A 23,739-nucleotide genomic window follows, 5' to 3' on the forward strand; every position below is an offset into this window, starting at 1 on the left:
TTCAGAGTGGCCTGACCTATTTTTTTATTTCCACCAGCAATGTATGAGAGTTCTAATTTCTCTACATCCTTGTCAACACTTGTTATTGTCTGTGTTTAATAATAGCTATCCTAGCGGGTGTGACGTGGCATGCCTTTGTCTTTCTGATTTCCCGTGGTGTTGAGCATCTTGTCATGTGCTTATTGGTTGTTCGTGTATCTTTTTTGGAGAAATTCCTGTTTAAATCCTTTGCCCATTTTAAAAGTGGATGATTTGGCCAGGTGCAGTGGCTCACTCCTGTAATCCCAGCACTCTGGGAGGCCAAGGCGGGCGGATCATGAAGTCAGGAGTTCAAGACCAGTCTGACCGATGTGGTGAAACCCCGTCTTTACTAGAAATACAAAAATTAGCCAGGTATGGTGGTGCGTGCCTGTAATCCCAGCTACTCAGGAGGCTGAGGCAGGAGAATCGCTTGAACCCAGAAGGCAGAGTTTGCAGTGAGCCGAGATTGCGCCACTGCACTCCAGCCTGGGTGACAGAGCAAGACTCTGTCTCTAAATAAATAAATAAATAGGATGATTTGTCTTTTTGTTGCTGAGATAAAAAGAGTTCTTGGCCAGGCGCGGTGGCTCACGCCTGTAATACCAGCACTTTGGGAGGCCAAGGCGGGTGGATCACCTGAGGTTGGGAGTTCGAGACCAGCCTGACCAACATGGAGAAACCCGTCTCTACTAAAACTACAAAAAATTAGCTGGGCGTGGTGGCACATACCTGTAATCCCAGCTACTCGGGAGGCTGAGGCAGGAGAATTGCTTGAACCTGGCAGGTGGAGGTTGTGGTGAGCCGAGATCGTACCATTGCACTCCAGCCTGGGCAACAAAAGCGAAACTCCGTCTCAAAAAAAAAAAAAAAGTTATTTACATATTCTCGATACTAGACCTTTATTAGATGGATGATTAGCAAATGTTTTTCTCCCGTTCTATAGGTTTTTTCTCTTTTTTTTTTTTTTTTTGAAACAGAGTCTCGCTCTGTCGCCAGGCTGGAGTGCAGTGGTGTGAACTCGGCTCACTGCAACCTCCACCTCCCGGGTTCAAGCAATTCTCCTGCCTCAGCCTCCCGAGTAACTGGGACTACAGACGCACGCCACTACACCCGGCTAATTTTTGTACTTTTAGTAGAGACGGGGTTTCACCATGTTGGCCAGGATGGTCTCGATCTCCTCACCTTGTGATCCACTTGCCTCGGCCTCCCAAAGTGCTGGGATTACAGGCGTGAGCCACCATGCCCGGCCCGGCCCTTTTTTGTTGTTTTTTGTTTTTTTTTGTTTTGTTTTTGGAGACGGAGTTTCGCTGTTGTTGCCCAGGCTGGAGTGCAATGGCACGATCTCGGCTCATTGCAACCTCCACCTCCTGAGTTCAAGCAATTCTCCTACCTCAGCCTCCTGAGTAGCTGGGATTACAGGTGCCTGCTACCATGCCCGGCTAATTTTTGTATTTTTAGTAGAGACGGTGTTTCAGCACGTTGGCCAGGCTGGTCTCGAACTCCTGACCTCAGGTGATCCACCCACCTCAGCCTCCCAAAGTGCTGAGATTATAGGCGTGAGCCACTGCACCTGGCCTTTTTTTTTTTTTTTTTTTTTTAACGAGACAGGGTCTGGCTCTGTTGCCCAGGCTGGAGTGCAGTGGTATGATCATGGCTCACTGCAACCTTGAACTCCTGGGCTCAGGTGACCCTCCTTCCCCGGCCTCTTGAGTAGCTAAGACTACAGGCATGTACCACCATACCTAGCTAATTTTTTTATTTTTTGGAGAGATGAGGTCTTATTATGTTGCCCAGGCTGGTCTTGAACTCCTGGTCCCAAGTGATCCTCCTGCCTCAGCTTCCCAAGTAGCTGGGACTACAGACGTGCACCACCACGCCCAGCTAATTTTTGTATTTTTAGTAGAGATGAGGTTTTACCATGTTGGCCAGAATGGTCTCTATCTCTTGATCTTCTGATCGGCCCAGCCCGGCCTCCCAAAGTGCTGGAATTACAGGCATGAGCTATCACGCCTGGCCTTTTTTTTTTTTGATTCGGAGTTTTACTCTTTTGCCCAGGCTGGAGTGAAGTGGCATGATCTGGGCTCATTGTAACCTCTGCCACCCCCCACCGGCCCCAGTATTTTTAGTAGAGACGGGGTTTCACCATGTTGGCCCAGCTGGTCTCAAACTCCTGACCTCAGGTGATCCACCTGCCTCGGCCTCCCAAAGTGCTAGGATTACAGGCGTGAGTCACCACATCTGGCTAATATTTGTATTTTTAGTAGAGATGGGGTTTCACCATGTTGGCCACGCTGGTCATGAACTCCTGACCTCAAGTGATCCTCCCACCTTGGCCTCCCAAAGTGCTGGGATTATAGGCGTGACCCACTGCACCTAGCCTATTTTGTATTTTTCAGTGTACACATCTTACACGTCTCCTCTCAAATTTATTCCTAAGTCTTTTATTATTTTTGATGCTATCATAAGTAGAATTGTTTTCTTGATTTCATTTCAGACTGTTCATTGCTAGTGTATAGAAATACAATTGATGTTTGTATATTGGTCTTGTATATATCCTGCAAGCTTGCTGAACTCATTTATTAGCTCTAATAGTTTTTTGTTTATCCTTTCTCCTTAAGTCTTAATGTTTAAGCTGAAATTACCTTTCAGGTCAGAAAGCAACATTGAATGCAGAAGAAATGGCGGACTTCTACAAGGAATTTTTAAGTAAAAATTTTCAGAAGCACATGTATTATAACAGGTAGGTGTTTACTCTTTTCCTGAAAATTTGAATAGCACATCCAGATTAGGTAGGAGTGTTTTCTTACCTGAATTTAACAACATTCATGTTTATATCAGAGGTAGAAGTTGCAAGACTTTATCAACTTTTTTTTTTCTTTTTTTCTTTTTTTTTTTTTTTTTGAGACGGAGTTTCGCTCTCTCGCCCAGGCTGGAGTGCAGTGGCGCCATCTTGGCTCACTGCAAGCTCCGCCTCCTGGGTTCACGCCATTCTCCTGCCTCAGCCTCCCGAGTAGCTGGGACTACAGGCACCCGCCAGCACGCCTGGCTAATTTTTTGTATTTTTAGTAGAGACAGGGTTTCACCGTGTTAGGCAGGATGGTCTCAATCTCCTGACCTCGTGATCCGCCTGCCTTGGCCTCCCAAAGTGCTGGGATTACAGGCATGAGCCACTGCGCCTCGTCTATCAACTTTATTTTTTAAGTGACTGCAGTGGCTTAAAAAGATACCAATTTTTTTAGGTCGGGTGTGGTGGTTCACACCTGTAATCCCAGCACTTTAGGAGGCCAAGGTGGGCAGATCACCTGAGGTCAGGAGTTCAAGACCAGCCTGACCAACATGGAGAAACCCTGTCTCTACTAAAAATACAAAATTAGCCAGCTGCTCCGGAGGCTCAGTCAGGAGAATCGCTTGAACGTGGAAGGTGGAGGTTGCGGTGAGCTGAGATCGTGCCATTGCACTCCAGTCTGGGCAAGGAGAACAAAACTCCATCTCAAAAAAAAAAAAAAAAAAAAAAAACGGGTTTTAGCTGGTTACAGATAATAATGACCTGTATTTACAGGTGAAATTAATAGGACATGATATCTGAGATTTGCTTTAAAATATTTGTAGGCTGGATACGGTGGCTCGCACCTGGAATCCCATGACTTTGGGAGGCCAAGGTGGGTAGATCACTTGAGTCCAGGAGTTCAAGACCAGTCTGGGCAACATAGTGAAAGGCTTGAGCTAGGAGGACCACTTGAGCCTGGGAGGTTAAGGCTACAGTGAGCCGAGATCCGGCCACTGCATTCCAGCCTGGATGGCAGACAGAGTAAGACCCTGTCTCAATAAATAAATAAATAAGTAAGTAATTAAAAAAATATATATATATATATAAAACAGTTCCAGAGTTACAAAGCCTGATGGGCAGGTGAAGCCAGACTTCAAGAATGTCGACATGGGCCAGGCACGGTAGCTCACACCTGTACTCCCAGCACTTTGGGAGGCCAAGGCAGATGGATTGCTTGAGCCCAGGAGTTTGAGACCAGCCTGGACAACATGACAAAACCCTGTCTCTACAAAAAATACAAAAATTAGCTTGGTGTGGTAGTGTGCACCTGTAATCCCAGCTACAGGAGGCTGAGGCAGGAGGATCCCTTGAGCCCAGGAGGTGGAGGTTGCAGTGAGCCGAGATCCCGCTACTGCACTCCAGCCTGGGCTACAGAGTGAGACCCTAATAAAAAAAGAGAATATAGATACAGTCAAAGGCTGGATGGACTCAGTGAGGGACAGTCTGACCTAAAGATTAGTCCTGAAATATCTGGATTCCATTTCTAAGGTTGTCATGTATTACTCTGAATTAGTTAAGTCATTCAAACAAGCGAGTATAATCTTTCCCTGGTCTTTGGACACGTAGCTTGTTTGCACGGGGCACAGTCTCTGATGGGCTTCATGTTTTCTCTGTGGCACTCGGGTGAAGAGGACCAGCCTTACCCAAGATCAGGCCTTAGAGGAGCCTGGCCCCCACCACCACCTCCTGCCCCTGCCTTCCCTGTGGCAACAGCAGAAGTGTAGCTTGCTTTTACATGTCATAGAATCAGGTCGTCTGTATTAGTGAAATGGAATATGGCTTTTCCTTGAAGAACTGTAATCCCCATGGGCTACCGGTTTTCTTCTCCTGGAAGCGCTTATTTACTTTGGGCACTGCTCCTCATGACAGCATTGCTTAAGTAGGTGGAGGTGTAAAGGTGGTTTGCAGGTGGAGAGGAACTTTCTGTCCTGCCATGCAGAGCCTCCAGAGTGGTCGTGGCCCATCACATCCCTAAAATGCTGCCAGCTCGGCAGGCCTGGGGTTTCCAAGGGCTCTCTTGGATCTTTTAGCAAAAATCAAAGGAGTACTTAAGAGGCTGAGGCAGAAGAATTACTTGAACCCAGGAGGCAGAGGTTGCAATGAGCCAAGATTGTGCCACTGTACTCCAGCCTGGACAACTAAGCAAGATGAAAAAACAAAACAAAAAAAACTCCAAAGGAGGGGCCGGGTGCGGTGGCTCACACCTGTAATCCCAGAACTTTGGGAGGTTGAGGCAGGTGGGTCAGGAGATCGAAACCATCCTGGCTAACACGGTGAAACCCTGTCTCTACTAAAAAAAAAAAATACAAAAAATTAGCCGGGTGTGGTGGCGGGCGCCTGTAGTCCCAGCTACTCGGGAGGCTGAGGCAGGAGAATGGCGCGAACCCGGGAGGCGGAGCTTGCAGTCAGCCGAGATCGCGCCACTGCACTCCAGCCTGGGCGACAGACCGAGACTCCGTCTCAAAAAAAAAAAACACCAAAGGAGGATGGTGGCGGCCTCCAGAAACAGGGCTGGAGAGGACTCCAGGCGTCGCCAGTGGGCCTCACTCTCAGCCTGAGGAGAGGCAGGCCTCTATGAATAGTTTAGCTTTAACAAGGGCAGGGAAAGGGCAAAGCAGTTGAGGCCTGGTCAGTTGAACTCATCCTCAACTGGGAGCCACTTCTGGGCCAGGGCACCAAGCCTCAGTCCCTGCCACCGTGTCACCTGTGCATCCTCTGTTTCTCTACAGAGATTGGTACAAGCGCAATTTTGCCATCACCTTCTTCATGGGAAAAGTGGCCCTGGAAAGGATTTGGAACAAGCTTAAACAGAAACAAAAGAAGAGGAGCAACTAGGAGTCCACTCTGACCCAGCCAGAGTCCAGGTTTCCACAGGAAGCAGATGGAGCTCCTTTCACAGGGGCTCTGAGAAAAACTGGAGCTGATCTCAAGAAGCCCCACATCTTCCTAAGGGGCCCCATGGCCTGTTTGGGGGCAGGGTAGGTCCTGGGGCACTGTGGGCCGCCTGCCTGCTGATGTGGGCTCTAGGCCAGCTTGTTGTCACGTACGTGGTGTGAAATAAAGCCCAAGCACTGGGTGCCCGTTTCCTGTGTTTCGAATTATACCAATTCAAAACAGAACTATTTAAAAATATTGGCCAGGCACGGTGGCTCACACCTGTAATCCCAGCACTTTGGGAGGCCGAGGCGGGTGGATCACTTGAGATCAGGAGTTCAAGATCAGTCTGGACAACATGGCAAAACCCTGTCTCTACAAAAAATTAGCTGGGTGTGGTGGCACGCACCTGTAATCCCAGCTGCTCTGGAGGCTGAGGCATGCGACGCTTGAACCCAGGAGGCGGAGGTTGCAGTGATCCAAGATCGCACCACTGCACTCCAGCCTGGAAGACCAAACGAGACTCTGTATCAAAAAATAATAATAATTAATAAAGTTTTACTGGAAAAAAGAAGTCTGCTGACGGGAATGATGTGGAAGCTGACTGCCAAGCGATCGGTGTGCTGGCCGTGGAGTCAGCACCACCCTCACTGTGAGTCGTCAGCTGGTGGGTCCTCACAGGCTGCGTCCTGAATGCAGTGCGGTGTGAGGACATGAAAGCAAATGCAATTTTATTGCATGCCAAAAAGTTTAACTTGATTCTTGGTGTTAACTATGTTAGTAGATTCTTCAATGCTATAAGCAAATTAACAAGAAACAGCAGCACTATTTTCCTCTTTTCTTAAACACGAAGGTTAAATGGCCAGGCATGGTGACTCATACCTGTAATCCCAACAATTTGGGAGGCCAAGGCAAGCAAATCACTTGAGCTCAGGAGTTCGAACCAGTTTGGGCAACATGGCGAAACCCTGCCTCTACAAAACATGCAAAAATTAGCTGGGCATGGTAGCATGCGCCTGTAGTCCCAGCTACTCGGGAGGCTGAGCTTCGAGGATTGATTGAGCCAGTGAGGTCCAGGCTGCACTAAGCCAAGATCCTACCACTAGGCAACAGAGCCAGACCCTGTCTCAAATAAAAATTTAAAAAAATAATAAAAAAGGCCGGGCGCACTGGCTCACGCCTGTAATCTCAGCACTTTGGGTGGCCAAGGTGGGCGGATCACCTGAGGTCAGTTCAAGACCAGCCTGGCCAAACATGGTGAAACCCTGTCTACAAAAATTAGCCAGGCATGATGGAGGGTGCCTTTAGTCCCAGCTCTTTGGGAAGCTGAGGCGGGAGAATAGCATGAACCAGGGAGGTGGAGGGTGCCTGTAATCCCAGCTCCTTGGGAGGCTAAGGCAGGAGAATAGCATGAACCCGGTAGGTGGAGGTTGCAGTGAGCCGAGATCGCGCCACTGCACTCCAGCCTGGGCGACAGAGCAATACTCCCGTCTCAAAAAAAAAAAAATTAAATGATTGTGATATGTGTTACTTTTGGTCACAAATAAATTGTAATTAAGATTATTCTGGCCAGGTGCGGTGGCTCACGCCTATAATCCCAGCACTTTGGGAGGCCGAGGTGGGCAGATCATGAGGTCAGGAGATCGAGACCATCCTGCCCAACATGGTGAAACCCCGTTTCTACTAAAAATGCAAAAATTAGCTGGGTGTGGTGGCGTGTGCCTGTAATGCCAGCTACTCGGGAGGCTGAGGCACGAGAATCACTTGAACCCAGCAGGCAGAGGTTGCAGTGAGCCAAGATTGCGCCACTGCACTCCAGCCTGACGACAAAGCGAGACTCCGTCTCAAAAAAAAAAAAAAAAGATTATTCTAGGCCTGGCACGGTGGCTCACGCCTATAATCCTAGCACTTTGGGAGGCCGAGTGGGTGGATCACTTGAGGTCAGGAGTTTGAGACCAGCCTGGCCAACATGGTGAAACTTCGTCTCTACTAAAAATATAAAAATTAGCCAGGCGTGGTGGCACATGCCTATAGTCCCAGCTACTTGGGAGGCTGAGGCAGGAGAATTGCTTGAACCTGGGAGGCAGAGGTTGCAGTGAGCTGAGATAGTACCACTGCACTCCAGCTTGGGTGGCAAAGCAAGACTCCATCTCAAGAAAAAAAAAAGATTGGCCTAGCGCAGTGGCTCACGCCTGTAATCTCAGCACTTTGGGAGGCCGAGGCTGGCGGATCACGAGGTGGAGAGATCAAGACCATCCTGGCCAACATGGTGTAACCCCAGCTCTACTAAAAATACAAATATTAGCTGGGCATGTTGGCGCACGCCTGTAGTCTCAGCTACTCGGGAGGCTGAGGCAGGAGAATCACTTGAACCCGGGAGGCAGAGGTTTCAGTGAGCTGAGATCGCACCACTGCACTCCAGCCTGGGTGACAGAGCAAGACTCCATCTTAAAAAAAAAAAAAAAAGATTATCCAGCTGGGTGTGGTGGCTCATGCCTGTAATCCCAGCACTTTAGGAGGGCGGATCACCTGAGGTCAGGAGTTCGAGACCAGCCTGGCCAACATGGTGAAACCCCGTCTCTACTAAAAATACAAAAATTAGCCGGGTGTTGTGGCAGGCGCCTGTCATCCCAGCTACTCAGGAGGCTGAGGCAGGAGAATTGCTTGAACCTGGGAGGCAGAGGTTGCAGTGAGCCGAGATCGTGCCACTCACTCCAACCTGGATGACAAGTAAAACTCTCTCTCCAAAAAAAAAAAAAAAAAATTAACCCAAAAATTTGTATGCTCAAGTTTTTTTTTAATTAGGTTAATATAATTGTAACAGCCATATTCAAATAAAGTATTTCTGTGGGCTTTTAAATAGTTACAAAATAAAGCTTATCTCAGTGATGTGGGTTTTTGGTTTTTTTGTTGTTGTTGTTTTTTGAGACGGTGTCTTGCTCGTTCGCCCAGGCTGGAGTGCAGTGGCGCGATCTCAGCTCACTGCAACCTCTGCCTCCCAGGTGCAAGCGATTCTCCTGTCTCAGCCTTCCAAGTAGCTGGGACTACAGGTACGTGCCAACACACCCAGCCAATTTTTGTATTTTTAGTAGCGACAGGGTTTCACCATGTTGGCCAGGATGGTCTTGATCGCTTGACCTCACGACCTGCCCACCTCAGCCTCCCAAAGTGTTGTGATTACAGGCGTGAGCCACCGCGACCAGCCCACTGATGTGTTTTATACCACTTTTCCCACAAAATGCATGTTTGTTAAAATTCCAAATATTTTAAATATTTTAATTTGGAGTTTAAAAGCAAAATAATATTGAGTCTCTTTCTCCCACTTTGTGTGTTGGGTGGTCTTTGTAGAAACTGATTTTTTACCTGCTCATATTCACCCAAAAAAAGGAGCCGGATGTGGCTAACAGAAGTTCAGCAGGACTCACGAGGGCTATCTCAGGTCAGTGAAAACAGGATATCTAATGCCTTTTCCTCTTTCTGTTTTGTTTTGACACGGAGTCTCGGTCTGTCACTCAGGCTGGAGTGCAGTGGCATGATCTCTGCTCACTGCAGGCTTCACCTCCCGGGTTCAAGCAATTCTCCTGCCTTAACCTCCAGAGTAGCTGGGATTACAGGTGTGTACCACCACGCCTGGCTAATTTTTGTATTTTTAGTAGAGATGGGGTTTCACCATGTTGGCCAGGCTGGTCTCAAACTCCTGACCTCGTGATCTGCCCACCTCGGCATCCCGAAGTGCTGGGATTACAGGTGTGAGCCACCGAGCCCGGCCTTCCTTGTTTTTATTTAATCCTAATAATGTACCGGAAGCTGCACCTGCCTGCAAGCCTCAGCTCCCTTGAGGCCATCCCGTAGCTCTGGCAGAGCCCCCAGCAGGGCTCCAGTTGGCGTCAGGTACAGCATTTGCTCTGCACAAATGCTGGAGTTATAATGATTAATAGAAGCATCTTCAAGAAAAACCTCCCCAGGGAAAGGCCGCCGTGTGGGGAGCATCTTTAGGAGCTGCAGCTGGAGGACCCGGGCCTGCCCACACACATGCTGCTCTTTAAAGGAAGCGGAATTGCATCAGGGCTACGGAGAAGCCTTGCCTTGGGGCAGCAGTGCTACCCTGCTTCGATCTTTTGCGCCTAAGAGGACAAAGCTTGAGAGCTGTTTTCTGACAAGCCCTTTAGTCTGCTTCCAGCACGGGGAAGTGGCTGCTTCCAAGCCTTTGTGCCTCAGGCACACGCTGAGCCTTCCGCCCCCAGCAGAGGAGTGAGCCACAGAAGGCCCTTTGTTCTGTACATTTGCAAGGAGTATTTTAGACTTCTGATTAATGGAGAAACCACGCAACTCCTGGCAGATTGTATGACAGTTTTCTGTTTGCTGATTTTTTTTATTTTTATTTTTGCTACCAGCACTTTTTTTTTTTTTTTTTTTAAGAAAAACAGCAACAAGGCCGGGTGCGGTGGCTCACGCCTGTAATCCCAGCACTTTGGCGTGACCCCCGCACGAGGTCAGGAGTTTGAGACCAGCCTGGCCAGTGTGGTGAAACCCCGTCTCTACTAAAAATACAAAAATTAGCTGGGCCATGGTGGCGCATGCCTGTAACCCCATCTACTCAGGAGACTGAGGTAGGAGAATCGCTTGACCCCAGGAGGCAGAGGTTGCAGTGAGCCGAGATCGCACCACTGCACTCCTGCCTGGGCGTCAGAGTGAGCCTCCGTCTCAAAACACAATCAAACAAACAAACAAAAAACAGAAACAAAAATAGCTCTATTCTGCTGAGATTTTTAAAGTTAAAATTGTAACAGTGTGTCTGGTTAGGAAATCGGAGCAGCATAGGAAGGAGTAGATGACAAAGGAATAGGCTTCCTTTCTAAATCCATAATTAATTTTCCTGAAGGTGAGGCTGGAGGTTCCTGTTCTGAAAGCCCCCTTATTGGGAGGCAGCCAGTAGAGTTTGGGGTCTGGGTGCTGCTGGCATTTTCCTCCCCGTGGCCCACTGGGTTCGCCTTCCCAGAGTCTTATTAGATTCCCTCTCAGGCTCCCCCATGCTTGCATTATTTTTTTGCCTTTTAACATAGATCCCTTCTGAACGGTGTGCTACAGCGCCTTCATTCCTTTCCAGAGTATTTTCCTCTGTGATGCATGCTCTGCAGTGGATCAGCTTTTGTCGTGGATGGCTGAGCGTGAGGCTGAGCCACCCCTGCCTCCTGGTGGATGTGGGCCGCACCCCTCCAGCTGGTCCCACCTGCCGACCAGCTGTTCTGGTTGCTCCCTCATCTATAGGCTGCAAGCGTTTGAAGGGAGGAGATGTGGGGAATGGTTAAAATCTGTCAATGTTTATTCAGCCGAGAAATACTGAGCACCTGCTCTGCTGGGCACAAGGGCCCCGATGTTGGTAGTTCATTGTTGCTCCCCCTGCAAAGACTAGCAAGATTTAAAGTAAGAGAAAAAAGCCAGCCACATAATGTAGACCCCACCAGAATGTTTTACAGAATCAGCTGATCTGACTCATGTTTACATTCCCAGTTAATCATAGATTTCAATTATATTCTTTTTTTTTTTTTTGAGACCGAGTCTCGCTCTGTCCCCAGGCTGGAGTGCAGTGGCGCGATCTTGGCTCACTGCAACCTCCACCTGCTGGGTTCAAGCGATTCTTCTACCTCAGCCTCCCGAGTAGCTGGGACTACAGGTGCGCGCTACCACCACCAGCTAATTTTTGTGTTTTTAGTAGAGACAGTGTTTCACCATATGGGCCAGGCTGGTCTCAAACTCCTGACCTCATGATCCGCCTGCCTCGGCCTCCCAAAGTGCTGGGATTACAGGCTTGAGCCACCGTGCCCAGCCTATTCTTAACTTTCAATTGCAGAAGGCTCTCTACTCACAAGGTCCAGCAATTACATCTGAGTGCTCATTAATAAAAATGATTTCTTGCTATGTCACAATGAAAGCACTGTGAAATTAATAGCCAAGTTTTAAGACATGAAATTTCTTTTTTTTTGAGACAGGGTCTCACTCTGTCCCCCAAGCTGGAGTACAGTGGCGCACTCTCCGCTCACTGCAACCTCTGCCTCCCAGGTTCAAGCGATCCTCCTGCCTCAGCCTCCTGAGTAACTGGGAGTACAGGCACTGGCCACCACACCAAGCTAATTTTTATACTTTTGTAGAGACGGTTTCACTATGTTGGCCAGGCTGGTCTCGAATTCCTGGGCTTAAGCGATCTTCCCACCTCATCCTCTCAAAATGCTGGGATTACAGGCATGAGCCACTGCTCCCGGCCAAGACATGAAATTTCAAGTAGGGATGTACATACAATTACAGGAGCCCTTCAAGTCACCTGTCATACTCCGTACCTGGCCTCATCTATCTGGAGCCTCAGGTGTAGCCTAGAATGCCCTCACAACCACTCCCCACTGCACAAAGACACGGCTCCCCTATGAAACCGCAGTCTCCCCTGGCTGGACAGGTGCTCCTGCTCTGTGCCCCTCAGTGCTCTGGACAAGCCTCAGTGATTTACAGAACTCTGGCCAGGCAAGGTGGCTCACGCCTGTAATCCCAGCACTTTTAGGAGTCTGAGGCAGGTGGATCACCTGAGGTCAGGAGTTGGAGACCAGCCTGGCCAACATGGTGAAACCCCATCTCTACGAAAAATACAAAAATTAGCCAGGTGTGGTGGTGGGTACCTGTAATCCCAGCTACTTGGGTGGCTGAGGCAGGAGAATCATTTGAACCTGGGAGCCAGAGGTGGTAGTGATCTGAGATTGCGCCACTGCACTCCAGCCTGGGAAACAGAGAGAGACTCTGTCTCAAAAAAAAAAAAAAAAACAAAAAAGCCTGGCACAGTGGCTTATGCCTGTAATCCCAATACTTTGGGAGGCCACTGCAGGCAGATCACGAGGTCAAGAGATCAAGACCATCCTGGCCAACATGGTGAAACCCTGTCTCTACTAAAAATACAAAAATTAGCTGGGTGTGGTGGCACACATTTGTAGTCACAGCTACTCGGGAGGCTGAGGCAGAAGAATCGCTTGAATCCGGGAGGCGGAGTTTGCAGTGAACCTTGATCGAGCCACTGCACTCCAGCCTGGCGACGAGCAAGACTCCATCTCAAAAAAAAAAAAAAAAGAGTCTGGATGCAGTGGCTCACGCCCGTTATCCCAGCCCTTTGGGAGGCCAAGGTGGTTGGATCACCTGAGGGCGGGAGTTCGAGACTAGCCTGACCAACATGGAGAAACCCCATCTCTACTAAAAATACAAAAAATTAGCCGGGCGTGGCGGTGCATTCTTGTAATCCCAGCTACTCAGAGGCTGAGGTAGGAGAATTGTTTGAACCCGAGAGGCGGAGGTTGCGGTGAGCCAAGATCACGCCATTGCACTCTAGCCTGCGCAACAAGAGCAAAAGTCCATCTCAAGAAAAAAAAAAAAGAAAAGAAAAGAAAAATTCTAGATTTACAGAACCCACTCGGCCGTCCTGTCATTGGTAATGTGTCAGCCTCTCCACACACACCAGCATCTGCCTGGCGGGGGTGAGTCATACTCATCTCGGGTATCCAGGAGCCTCCCACTCAGAGCACTTGCTCCATGAATGAATGCAGAGGCTCATGAGAAGAGGAGTGTAGTGAGGATAGACTTGTGCTTGCCTGGCATTTCTGGGGCCCAGGCCTCCCCATTCTGTGCCCATGTGGCTCTAGAAAGGCCAAAGCCACCTCCTCTACAGAGCTGGGCACACTAGCCAGCATCGCTGGCCAAAGCTAGCCCAGGCCTTCCCAGAGCAATGAGGAAAAAAGACCCAGCACTTTCTTCCCAGGGGGTTCTGAAGTCAAGGGTGTGAGTCTGGTAGTGATCCTGCCCAAGGATGAAGTCAACTCTGCAGAGCAGTGCTGAGAAATGGAAAGAGGAAGATTCCAGACAGGAAGGGTGGAGTGCCTGGATCCAGCCATGCCTGGGGCCTCAGATCACCCTCCAACTTTGAGGTATTTGCTTGAAATTTGATTCAAGTTTCTTTACCTGCACCCCAGAAGCCTGACTGACCCAGATTACCTCAAATAGCACATGCCTAGAGTGGCCTCTGAGGTCTCAGTTCTTGGGGTGGGGGTAGTAAAGGGGGTGGTGTGATCCGAGTACATTTCAATCAACATCCAGTTGGCTCTGAGTCCTGGGGTCCACCTGAAACCAAGCCAGGCTGGCAGAGGCCATGAGCCCATCTCTGGGCCTGACCATCAGAGGCATCCCCAGTTGATTTCGAACAGCCTGAGATACCCTCTGGGAAGGGAGTGTGGGTGCCAGGAGTCTGTAATGAGATAATCATCACACAGTGAGAAGGAGAGGTCATCCCAGTAAGCACCTGGGGGGCTTGGGATGCTGGCACAGTGCAAGAGGCCTGTCCCTCGGGGATTCTTAGCGAATGAGCCTTGTCACTTGAAAATGAATGTGCCATTGTAAAGAACTCAGGCAGGGGCAGTGGTTCATGCCTGTAATCCCAGCACTTTGGGAGGCCGAGGCAAGCAGATACTTGAGGTCAGGAGTTCCAGACAATCCTGGCCAACATGGTGAAACCCCTTCTCTACTAAAACTACACAAAAATGGCCGGGTGCAGTGGCTCACGCCTGTAATCCCAGCACTTCGGGAGGTCGAGGCAGGTGGATCACCTGAGGTCAGGACTTCGAGACCATCCTGGCCAACATGGTGAAACCCCGTCTCTACCAATAATACAAAAAATTAGCTGGGCATGATGGCAGGCGCCTGTAATCCCAGCTACTCGGGAGGCTGAGGCAGGAGAATCACTGAAACCCGGGAGGCGGAGGTTGCGGTGAGCCGAGATCGTGCCGTTGCACTCCAGCCTGGGCGACGAGTGAAACTCCGTTTCAAAAAACAAAAAAATTAACTGGGTGTGGTGGCTCGTGCCCATAATCCCAGCTACTTGGGAGGCTGGGACGGGAGAATCTCTTGAACCCCGAGATGGTGGTTTCCATGAGCTGAGATCACGCCACTCCACTCCAGCCTGGGCGGCTGAGCGAGACTCCATCTCAAAGCAAAAACAAACAAACAAAAAATTAGCCAGACATGGTAGTGGACACCTGTGGTCCCAGCTCCTGGGGAGGCTGAGGCATGAGAATCACTTGAAACCAGGAGGCAGAGGTTGCAGTGAGCTGAGATCTCACCATTGCACTCCAGTCTGGGCGACAGAGCGATATCCTGTCTCAAAAAAAAAAACAAACAAACAAACAAAAAACTGATGCCACTACACACCTGTTAGAATGGCTGCTGACATACAAAACATTGACTGCTGGGTGAGGTGTCAAAGCTCCAGCATCAGAAAGTGGTCCACTCGAGGGTTGGTAAGAAAAATTTACTGGCGACAGTATAGGTTTGAAAAAGGAACGTTTGGCCTGATGTGGTGGTTCAGGCCCGTATGTAATTCCAACATTATGGGAGTCCGAGGCAGGCGGATCACTTGAGATCAGGAGTTCCAGACCAGCCTGGCCAACGTGGCAAAACTTTGTCTCTATTAAAAATACAAAAATTAGCTAGGCGTGGTGGTGGGCACCTGTAATCCCAGCTACTCGGGGGGCTGAGGCAGGAGAATCGCTTGAACCCAGTAGGTGGAGGTTGCAGTAAATGGAGATCACACCACTGCACTCCAGCCTGGGTGACAGCAAGAATCTGTCTCAAAAAAAAAAAAAAAAAAAAAAAAAAAAGAAAAGAAAAAGGAACGTTTTATTGGAAAGAAAGAACACTGAAGAAGAGGGCATCAAGGTGCCTCAGTAACAGAGGACCGAGTGAGCTTCGGTGGATTTTTCCTTAGGGGCATTTATGGACCTTAAGGTGGGAGCTTAAGGGTAATTTGAACCATATTAGCGATGTAGGTCATGATAAATAATTACATTTGTAGACATTTGGTGCCTTAATGTCAGCAAGGGTTGCACAGTGAGTTCTGACATGCATGCATTCTGGAGAGCTACAGAAATTGTAGTTACTTAGATATTTTGGGGAAAGGGCCGGGCACAGTGGCTCATGCCTATAATCCCAGCACTTTGGGAGGCCTAGGCAGGTGGATCACCTGAGGTCAGGAATTCGAGACCAGCCTGGCCAACATGATGAAACCCTATCTCTACTAAAAATACAAAAAATTAGCTGGGCATGGTGGTGAGTGCCTGTAATCCCAGCTACTCAGGAGGCTGAGGCAGGACAATCACTTGAACCCGGGAGATGGAGGTTGCAGTGAGTCGAGATTGTGCCATTGCACTCCAGCCTGACTCAAAAAAATTTAAAAAAAAATTTAAAAAGAAATTTTTGGGAAAGAAACCTAGGACCAGATCCCTGCTTTAGATAATAGGGAAGCCTAATTACTTTTGAATTCCTCAGATAAGAAGTTTTGTTTCTGGATGGCCTTCCTGATGATCACCACCAGGTGATCTTTGCTCTCCAAACAACACCAAATGCAGGTGAGGATGGAGCAACAGGAACGCTCGTTCATTGCTGGTGGGAACGCAAAATGGCACAGCCACTGTAGAAGAGTTTGGCAGTTTCTTACAAAATTAAACATACTCTTATCATGCATTCTAGCAATCATGCTCCTAGGTATTTATGCAAATGAATTGAAAACTTATTATTATTATTTTCTTGAGACGGAGTCTAGCTCTGTCGCCCAGGCTGGAGTGCAGTGGTGGAATCTCGGCTCACTGCAAGCTCCACCTCCCGGGTTCACACCATTCTCCTGCCTCAGCCTCCTGAGTAGCTGGGACTACAGGCGCCCGCCACCGCGCCCGGCTAATTTTTTTGTATTTTTAGTAGAGACGGGGTTTCACCGTGTTAGCCAGGATGGTCTCAATCTCCTGACCTCGTGATCTGCACATCTCCGCCTCCCAAAGTGCTGGGGTTACAGGCGTGAGCCACTGTGCCCAGCCAAACTGAAAACTTATATCCACACAAAACCCTGTACCCGGATGTTTATTGCAGCCTAATTCATAATTGCCAACATTTAGAAGCTATCAAGACAGCCTTCAGTTGGTGGTACATCCAGATAATGGAATATTATTCAATACTAAAAGGAAACAAGACATGGAGTAATTTTTTTTGAAACAGGGTCTCACTCTGTTGCCCAGGTTGGATGCAGTGGTGCCATCTCGGCTCACTGCAACCTCTGGCTCCCGGGTTCAAGCAATTCTCCTGCCTCAGCCTCCTGAGTAGCTGAGTCTACAGGCGCATGCCACCATGCCCTGCTAATTTTTTGTATTTTTAGTAGAGACATGGTTTCACCATGCTGGCCAGGCTGGTCTAAAACCCCTGACCTCAGGATCCGCCCGCCTCAGCCTCCCAAAGTGCTGGGATTACAGGCGTGAGCCACCACACCCGGCCAGGGGAATCTTAAATGCATATTACTAAGTGAAATATGCATTTAGCCAATCTGAAAAGGCTACATACTGTACAATTCCAACTGTATAACATTGTGGAAAAGGCAAAACTATGAAGACAGTAAAAAAATGAGTGGTTGCCAGGGGTTAGGAGGGAGCGGGATGAACAGGCAGAGCACAGAGACTTTTTAGGGCAATGAAAATATTCTGGCCAGGTGCAGTGGCTCACCCATGTAATCCCAGCACTTTGGGAGGCCGAGGCGGGCAGATCACCTGAGGTCAGGAGTTCGAGACCAGCCTGGCCAACATGACAAAACCCCATCTCTACTAATAATACAAAAATTAGCCGGGCGTGGTGGTGCACACCTGTAGACCCGCTACTAGGGAGGCTGAGGCAGGAGAACTGCTTGAACCCAGGAGGGGGAGGTTGCAGTGAGCGAGATTGTACCACTGCACTCCAGCCTGGGCAACAAGAGCGAAACTCCATCTCAAAAAAGAAAAACAATTGCCTGGCATGATGGCATGTGCCTGTAGTCCCAGCTACTTGGGAGGTTGAGGTGGGAGAATCAGTTGAGCCCAGGGAGATTGAGGCTGCAGTGAGCCAAAATCATGTCACTGCACTCCAGCCTGGGAAACAGAGTAAGACCCTGTCTCACAAAATAAATAAAAGTGGCCGGGCATGGTGGCTCATGCCTGTAATCCCAGCACTTTGGGAGGCCGAGGTGGGTGCATCACCTGAGGTCAGCAGTTCAAGACCAGCCTGGCCAACATGGTGAAACCTTGTCTCTACTAAAAATACAAAAAATTAGTTGGGCATGGTGGAGGGTGCCTGTAATCCCAGCTACTTGGGAGGCTGAGGCAGGAGAATTGCTTGAACCCAGGAGGTGGAGGTTGCAGTGAGCCAAGATCTTGCCATTGCACTCCAGCCTGGGCAACGAGCGAAACTCTTGTCTCAAATAAAATAAAATAAATAAAATAAATTTTGGCCAGGCACAGTGGTTCATGCCTGTAATCCCAGCACTTTGGGAGGCCAAGGTGGGCGGATCATTTGAAGTCAGCCAGACCAGCCTGGCCAACATGGTGAGACCCCGTTTCTACTAAAAACAAAAATCGGCTGGGCATGCTGAGGTAAGAGAATCGACTGAACCCAGGAGGCAGAGATTCCATTGAGCCAAGATCACACCACTGCACTCCAGCCTGCGCAACAGAGTGATACTCTGTCTCAAAACAAAACAAAACAAAACAAAACAGCGGCTGGGCACCGTCGCTCACACCTGTAATCCCAGCACTTTGGGAGGCCGAGGCAGGCAGATCACTTGAGGTCAGGAGTTTGAGAATAGCCTGGCCAACGTGGTGAAACCCCATCTCTATTAAAAATACAAAAATTAGGCCGGGCACAGTAGCTCACGCCTGTAATCCCAGCACTCTGGGAGGCCGAGGCGGGCAGATCACGAGATCAGGAGATCAGGAGATCAAGACCATCCTGGCTAACACGGTGAAACCCCATCTCTACTAAAAAATACAAAAAATTAGCCGGGCGTGGTGGCAGGCGCCTATAGTCCCAGCTATTCAGGAAGCTGAGGTAGGAGAATAGCGTGAACCCAGGAGGTGGAGCTTGCCGTGAGTCGAGATTGCAACACTGCACTCCAGCCTGGGCGACAGAGTGAGACTCCGTCTCAAAACCAAACAAAACAAAACAAAACAAAACAAATACAAAAATTAGCTGGGCATGGTGGTGGGCGCCTGTAATCCCAGCTACTGGGGATGCTGAGGCAGGAGAATGGCTTGAACCCAGGAGACCCAGGAGGCGAAGGTGCAGTGAGCCGAGATCATGCCACTGCACTCCAGCCTGGGTGACAGAGCAAGACTCCATCTCAAAAAAAAAAAAAAAGCTGGGCACAGTGGCTCATGCCTGTAATCCTAGCACTTTGGGAGGCCGAGGCGGGCAGACCACCTGAGGTTGGGAGTTCAAGACCAGCCTGACCAACATGGAGAAACCCTGTCTCTACTAAAAATACATAATTAGCCGGGCTTGGTGGCACATGCCTGTAATCCCACCTACTTGGGAACTTGGGAGGCTGAAGCAAGAGAACCGCTTGAACCCGGGAGGCAGAGTTTGCAGTGAGCTGAGATCACCCCACTGCACTCCAGCCTGGGTGACAAGAGTGAAACTCTGCCTCAAAATAATAATAATAATAAATAGGCTGGGTTTCGTGGCTCACACCTGTAATCCCAGCACTTTGGGAGGCTGTGGGGGTGGATCACTTGAGGCCAGGAGTTCAAGACCAGCCTGGCCAACATGGCAAAACCCCATCTCTATTAAAAATAGAAAAATTAGCCGGGCATGGTGGCACACTCCTGTAGTTCCAGCTACTTGAGAGGCTGAGGTGGAAGAATTGCTTGAGCCCAGGAGGTGGAGGTTGCAGTGAGCCGAGATCGAGCTAGTGCATCCAGCCTGGGGGACACAGTGAGACTCTGTCTCAGAAAATAATAAGTAAATAAATAAATATGACAGTGCGTGTGTACAGTTTTCCATTCTAACCACTTTCCTTTTTTTTTTTTTTTTTTTTTTTTTTTTTTGAGACGGAGTCTCGCTCTGTCACCCAGGCTGGAGTGCAGTGGCGCAATCACGGCTCACTGCAAGCTCCGCCTCCCGGGTTCACGTCATTCTCCTGCCTCAGCCTCCCGAGTAGCTGGGACTACAGGCGCCCGCCACCACGCCCAGCTAACTTTTTGTATTTTTAGTAGAGACGGGGTTTCACCGTGTTAGCCAGGATGGTCTCCATCTCCTGACCTCATGATCTACCCGCCTCGGCCTTCCAAAGTGCTGGGATTACAGGCGTGAGCCACCGCGCCCCGCCCATTCTAACCACTTTCAAGTGCACAGGCCACTGTCACTGAGCACGCTCACACTGTTGTACAAGCACCGTCCATCTCCAGAAATCTTTCATCTTCCCAGACTGAAACTCTGTCTCCCTTAAACAACTCCCCAGCTCCCACTCCCAGTCCCTGGCAACCACCATGCCACTTCCTGTGTCTATGAATTTGCCTGCTTTGGGGACCTCAAGCCTAGTGTTTGCCTTTTTGTGGCTGGCTTATTTCACTAGCTTATTTCAGCACAGGTCCTCCAGGTCCATCTGTGGTGTAGCAGGTAGACACCTGTTGCAGACAGATAAGCCAAGTCCCAGTCTCGGCTATGCCACTTGAGCCCTCTGAGCCTCAGACGCTGCTGTAGACTGGGAATAGTGACCCTTCACCACAAAAGGTACATGAGGGGTCCACTTACGTTCCTGGGAGGACAGCAGGGTCCTTGGTGACTTATTCTCTGGATACTTCCGAATACCTCCTGCGTGCCAGGCCCTGCTGTACCCCTAGGAATAGAGCCGTAAAGAAGAGGGCCACCACCCCCCCTCTCCACCCACTTTCCTTCCGCCCAGCAGTACCCCAGCTCAGACACTCCGCTCACCTCACTGGTCTGCCAGGAAAGTCATCTCTTTCCTTTTATGCTGTTGAAAATGGGTTGGTCAATATCCCAGAAGTGTTCAGGGTGCTTCAAGTTGCATTTTGAGCTCCTCAGCTATTGATTGGGAAGAATAATTGTCTTCACTTTATCCTGAGTCAGGCCTTTGGTGGAAAAGTGCAGGAAAGGCTATAGGAGGAGGTGGCCAGGGGGCCTTCTGTCCAGGTATTTAGGGGTTATGAGCTCCTCTGGGCCCACCCCCGCTGACAACATCACACCTCCAGCCAAGCACACACTTGACCCAAAGACCTGAGTTTGCCATCAAAGCAGATCCAGGGTTTGGTTCGGAGTGGAAAGATTAACATGAAAAAAGCTGGAGTGGTAGGCAGAAAGGCCTAGAGAAGATCTGTCTGTCTGTCTGTCTGTTTTATTCCCCCAACCCCTCCCCACCAGCCACACCCAGATTGAGGAGCACCAGCAGCCATGGGCTGGCATGTGACAGGCTGGTCAGTGTGCTGGGAACACAGTTCTGGGCAGAGGATCTGATGCTGAAAAGAGCCTCAGTGTATCTTCAGTGCCTCCTCCCCTGTCCCTGGTGGTCTGGGTGTCCAGTGCAGCCCTGGTCTGGCCCAGCAATCTCTCTGATAGGGTCATGGCAGGATGCCTGTCAGGGTGTGGTGGCACGTGCCTGTAGTCCTAGCTACTTGGGAGGCTGAGACAGGAGAATTGCTTGAACCCAGGAGGCAGAGGTTGCAGTGAGCCAAGATTGCGCCATTGCACTCCCACCTGGGTGACAGAGTGAGAATCCATCTCAAAAAACAAAAACAAAAACAAAACAAAACAAAAACCCAGCCTGGGCAACACAGGGAGACCCCATCTCTACAAAAAATTAGAAAATTGGCCGGGTGCGGTGGCTCACACCTCTAATCCCAGCACTTTGGGAGGCCGAGGCAGGCAGATCACGAGGTCTGGAGATGGAGACCATCCTGGATAACATGGTGAAACCCCGTCTGTACTAAAAATACAAAAAAATTAGCTGGGTGTGGTGGCAGGCGCCTGTAGTCCCAGCTGCTGGGGAGGCTAAAGCAGGACAATGGCATGAACCCGGGAGGCGGAGCTTGTAGTGAGCCGAGATTGTGCCACTGCACCCCAGCCTGGGCAACAGAGCAAGATTCCATCTCAAAACAAAACAACAACAAACAAACCAGCCTGGGCAAGACAGGGAGACCCCATCTCTACAAAAAATTAAAAAATTAGCTGGGCAGGGTGGCACGTGCCTGTGGTCCCAGCTACTCAGAAGGCTGAGGAGGGAGGATCTCTTGAGCCTAAGGGGTCGAGGCTGCAGTGAACCCTGATCACGCCGCTGCGCTCCAACCTGGGTGCCAGGAGCCAGAGATTGCAGTGAGACGAGGTCGCACCACTGCACTCCAGCCTGGGCAATAGAATGCAACTCCGTCTCAAAATAAATAAATAAAAATAAATAAATAAAGTGTGCAGTTCAGTGGCACCAAGTACATTCATGGCAGCCTCGCCACCGTCCATCTTCAGAACTTTGTCATCTCCCCAAACAAGCGCTGTACCCATTAGGCAGGCACTCCCCATCCCCACCCACCATTCACTTTTCTCTCTTTCTTTCTTTCTTTCTCTCTTTTCTTTTTCTTTCTTTCCTTCCTTCTCTTTCTTTTTCTTTCTTTTTTTTTTCTTTTAGATAGGGTCTCATTCCGTCACCCAAGCTGGAGTGCAGTGGCACTATCTTGGCTCACCACCACAGCCTCAGCCTCCCCAAGTAGCTGGGACTACAGGTGTGTACCACCACACCTTGCTAATTTTTAAATTTTCATTTGTTTTAGAGACAAAGTCTCACTGTGTTGCCCAGGCTAGTCTAGGGATGAGAGCCTCCTGGATTTGGGGTGGGGCCCTGAAAGACACAGAGACACACAGCAGGGAAGAGCAGATGAGGTGGAGGCAGAGGCTGGAGGGACGTAGCTGCAAGCGCAGGAGCACCAAGGGCCGGTGGAACCGCAGAAACCGCAGCGAGGGAGCCAGCCCTGCTGACACTTTGATTCCGGACTTCCATCGCAGAACTGAGAGAGAGAATCAACCCCTGTCGTCCTGAGCCCCCAGCGTGTGGTGCTGTGGTGCAGCCGCAGGAAACACGTGCTTTCCAGAATGACAGCTGGTGTCCGCAAGAACAGCAGGAACTCATCAGCATTTGGAAGTGAGACTGGGTGGATGTGCAGTCCCGGAAAAAGAGGCGGAGATTTATGTCTGGTGGCGGGGAGCCCGTGTGTTCAGCAGCTTCTGGAAGGAATTGATAGATGGAAGCTGCTAGAGGCGTTGCTGACAGCCTCTCCTTGAGGCCAGACTCCAGAGCTGGAACCTGGTAGAAGCCTTAGTCTCCTCATTTACCGCAGCGGTGACGGGTGGGGCAGTGTGAGATCTGAGCCGAGGGCCCGCATCAAAGTCCCCTTTCGGCTTCTCCATCTGTGACATGGGTTGCACCTGCTCTGACTGCTGCTTACGAGAGATGGTGAGCAGTGTTCTGTGCTGCGTGGCCGTGACTGCCGAGGTTCTGTGAAGACGGGAACCACGGGCTGAAAGCAATAGAGACCCCAGACCACCAGGGTCAGCTCGCCCCCGCCCCCACCCATCTTCTTTCTGAAGGCTGCGCTTTTCCTTTTCAATATGACCTAAGCCCTTTGCAGGATATCTCCATTCGCACATTTCCTTACTCAGGGTCTGGGTCTGCCCTGCAGAGCTGAGCTGAACGGCACTATCAGGACTTTCTACTGGGACAATTGAATGCGACCCCCCTCCCACCGTCGGCTCTGCCCTCCTCCTGTTTCCACAGGTCTGGAGACGTTCCCTCTGCCCAGGTGGGGGCCGTGGCTGGAAGTCCGCCTCTGCTGGAGGTGCCCGAACCTCATGCCTCTTGCCCCCAGATCGCCTTTCCCTTGGACGTTGCCCGAGGCGTGTGGTCCCAGTTGGCCAACATGGAGCTTAGTTGGGAGGATGTGAGTGGCCCTCTCCTCCCAAAGATGATCGTGAATCCTCGGGGGCTGAGAAACCTGCTGAGAGAGAAAGAAAACAGTGGGAATAGTGCCTACAGCTGCGCTTCCTCAGTAGACAGGAGGCAGGGCTGCTGGGGGAGGGAAAAGGGAAGCCGGCCGGGGTGGGGGTGGAGAAGGTGGGGTCTCTGGAGGAGAACTCATCCTGGAGGA

The 23,739-nt window shown here is 50.0% G+C and overlaps 1 protein-coding gene across 4 annotated transcripts in view, besides 6 other annotated features; it reads left to right on the top strand.

The window, feature by feature from the left end:
- The window catches only part of COA8 (cytochrome c oxidase assembly factor 8), a 27,940-nt gene extending 21,644 nt beyond the window's left edge, over nucleotides 1-6,296 (top strand). For 3 of the 4 annotated variants that reach the window (NR_126431.2, NR_126432.2, NM_001302653.2), the window contains 2 exons: nucleotides 2,671-2,761; nucleotides 5,578-6,296. Coding sequence is in view for 2 of the 4 variants with exons in the window: in NM_001302653.2 (NP_001289582.2) it covers nucleotides 2,671-2,731 (61 nt within the window). In the remaining 2 variants the exon portion in view is untranslated. The remainder of the gene's footprint in view (nucleotides 1-2,670; nucleotides 2,762-5,577) is intronic. The other variant, NM_001370595.2, reaches the window with a different exon arrangement.
- Nucleotides 3,917-4,091: a silencer, noted in NCBI's record as "fragment chr14:104054857-104055031 (GRCh37/hg19 assembly coordinates)". NCBI's record gives its function as "represses an EF-1alpha promoter that drives an FKBP-Casp9 reporter gene in an ReSE screen in K562 erythroleukemia cells {active_cell/tissue: K562}" and the evidence as "EXISTENCE:reporter gene assay evidence [ECO:0000049][PMID:32094911]".
- Nucleotides 5,681-6,182: an enhancer, noted in NCBI's record as "H3K4me1 hESC enhancer chr14:104056621-104057122 (GRCh37/hg19 assembly coordinates)". NCBI's record gives its function as "activates a minimal SCP1, AML or CMV promoter by ChIP-STARR-seq in naive H9 embryonic stem cells {active_cell/tissue: H9 hESC(naive)}" and the evidence as "EXISTENCE:reporter gene assay evidence [ECO:0000049][PMID:30033119]".
- Nucleotides 6,183-6,682: an enhancer, noted in NCBI's record as "H3K4me1 hESC enhancer chr14:104057123-104057622 (GRCh37/hg19 assembly coordinates)". NCBI's record gives its function as "activates a minimal SCP1, AML or CMV promoter by ChIP-STARR-seq in naive H9 embryonic stem cells {active_cell/tissue: H9 hESC(naive)}" and the evidence as "EXISTENCE:reporter gene assay evidence [ECO:0000049][PMID:30033119]".
- Nucleotides 9,094-9,233: a silencer, noted in NCBI's record as "silent region_6161". NCBI's record gives its function as "represses an Ori minimal core promoter by ATAC-STARR-seq in GM12878 lymphoblastoid cells {active_cell/tissue: GM12878}" and the evidence as "EXISTENCE:reporter gene assay evidence [ECO:0000049][PMID:35858748]".
- Nucleotides 22,578-22,627: an enhancer, noted in NCBI's record as "active region_9107". NCBI's record gives its function as "activates an Ori minimal core promoter by ATAC-STARR-seq in GM12878 lymphoblastoid cells {active_cell/tissue: GM12878}" and the evidence as "EXISTENCE:reporter gene assay evidence [ECO:0000049][PMID:35858748]".
- Nucleotides 22,668-23,067: an enhancer, noted in NCBI's record as "active region_9108". NCBI's record gives its function as "activates an Ori minimal core promoter by ATAC-STARR-seq in GM12878 lymphoblastoid cells {active_cell/tissue: GM12878}" and the evidence as "EXISTENCE:reporter gene assay evidence [ECO:0000049][PMID:35858748]".

This window comes from Homo sapiens, chromosome 14 (assembly GCF_000001405.40).
Source record: "Homo sapiens chromosome 14, GRCh38.p14 Primary Assembly".
NCBI classification, from domain to species: Eukaryota; Metazoa; Chordata; class Mammalia; order Primates; family Hominidae; genus Homo; species Homo sapiens.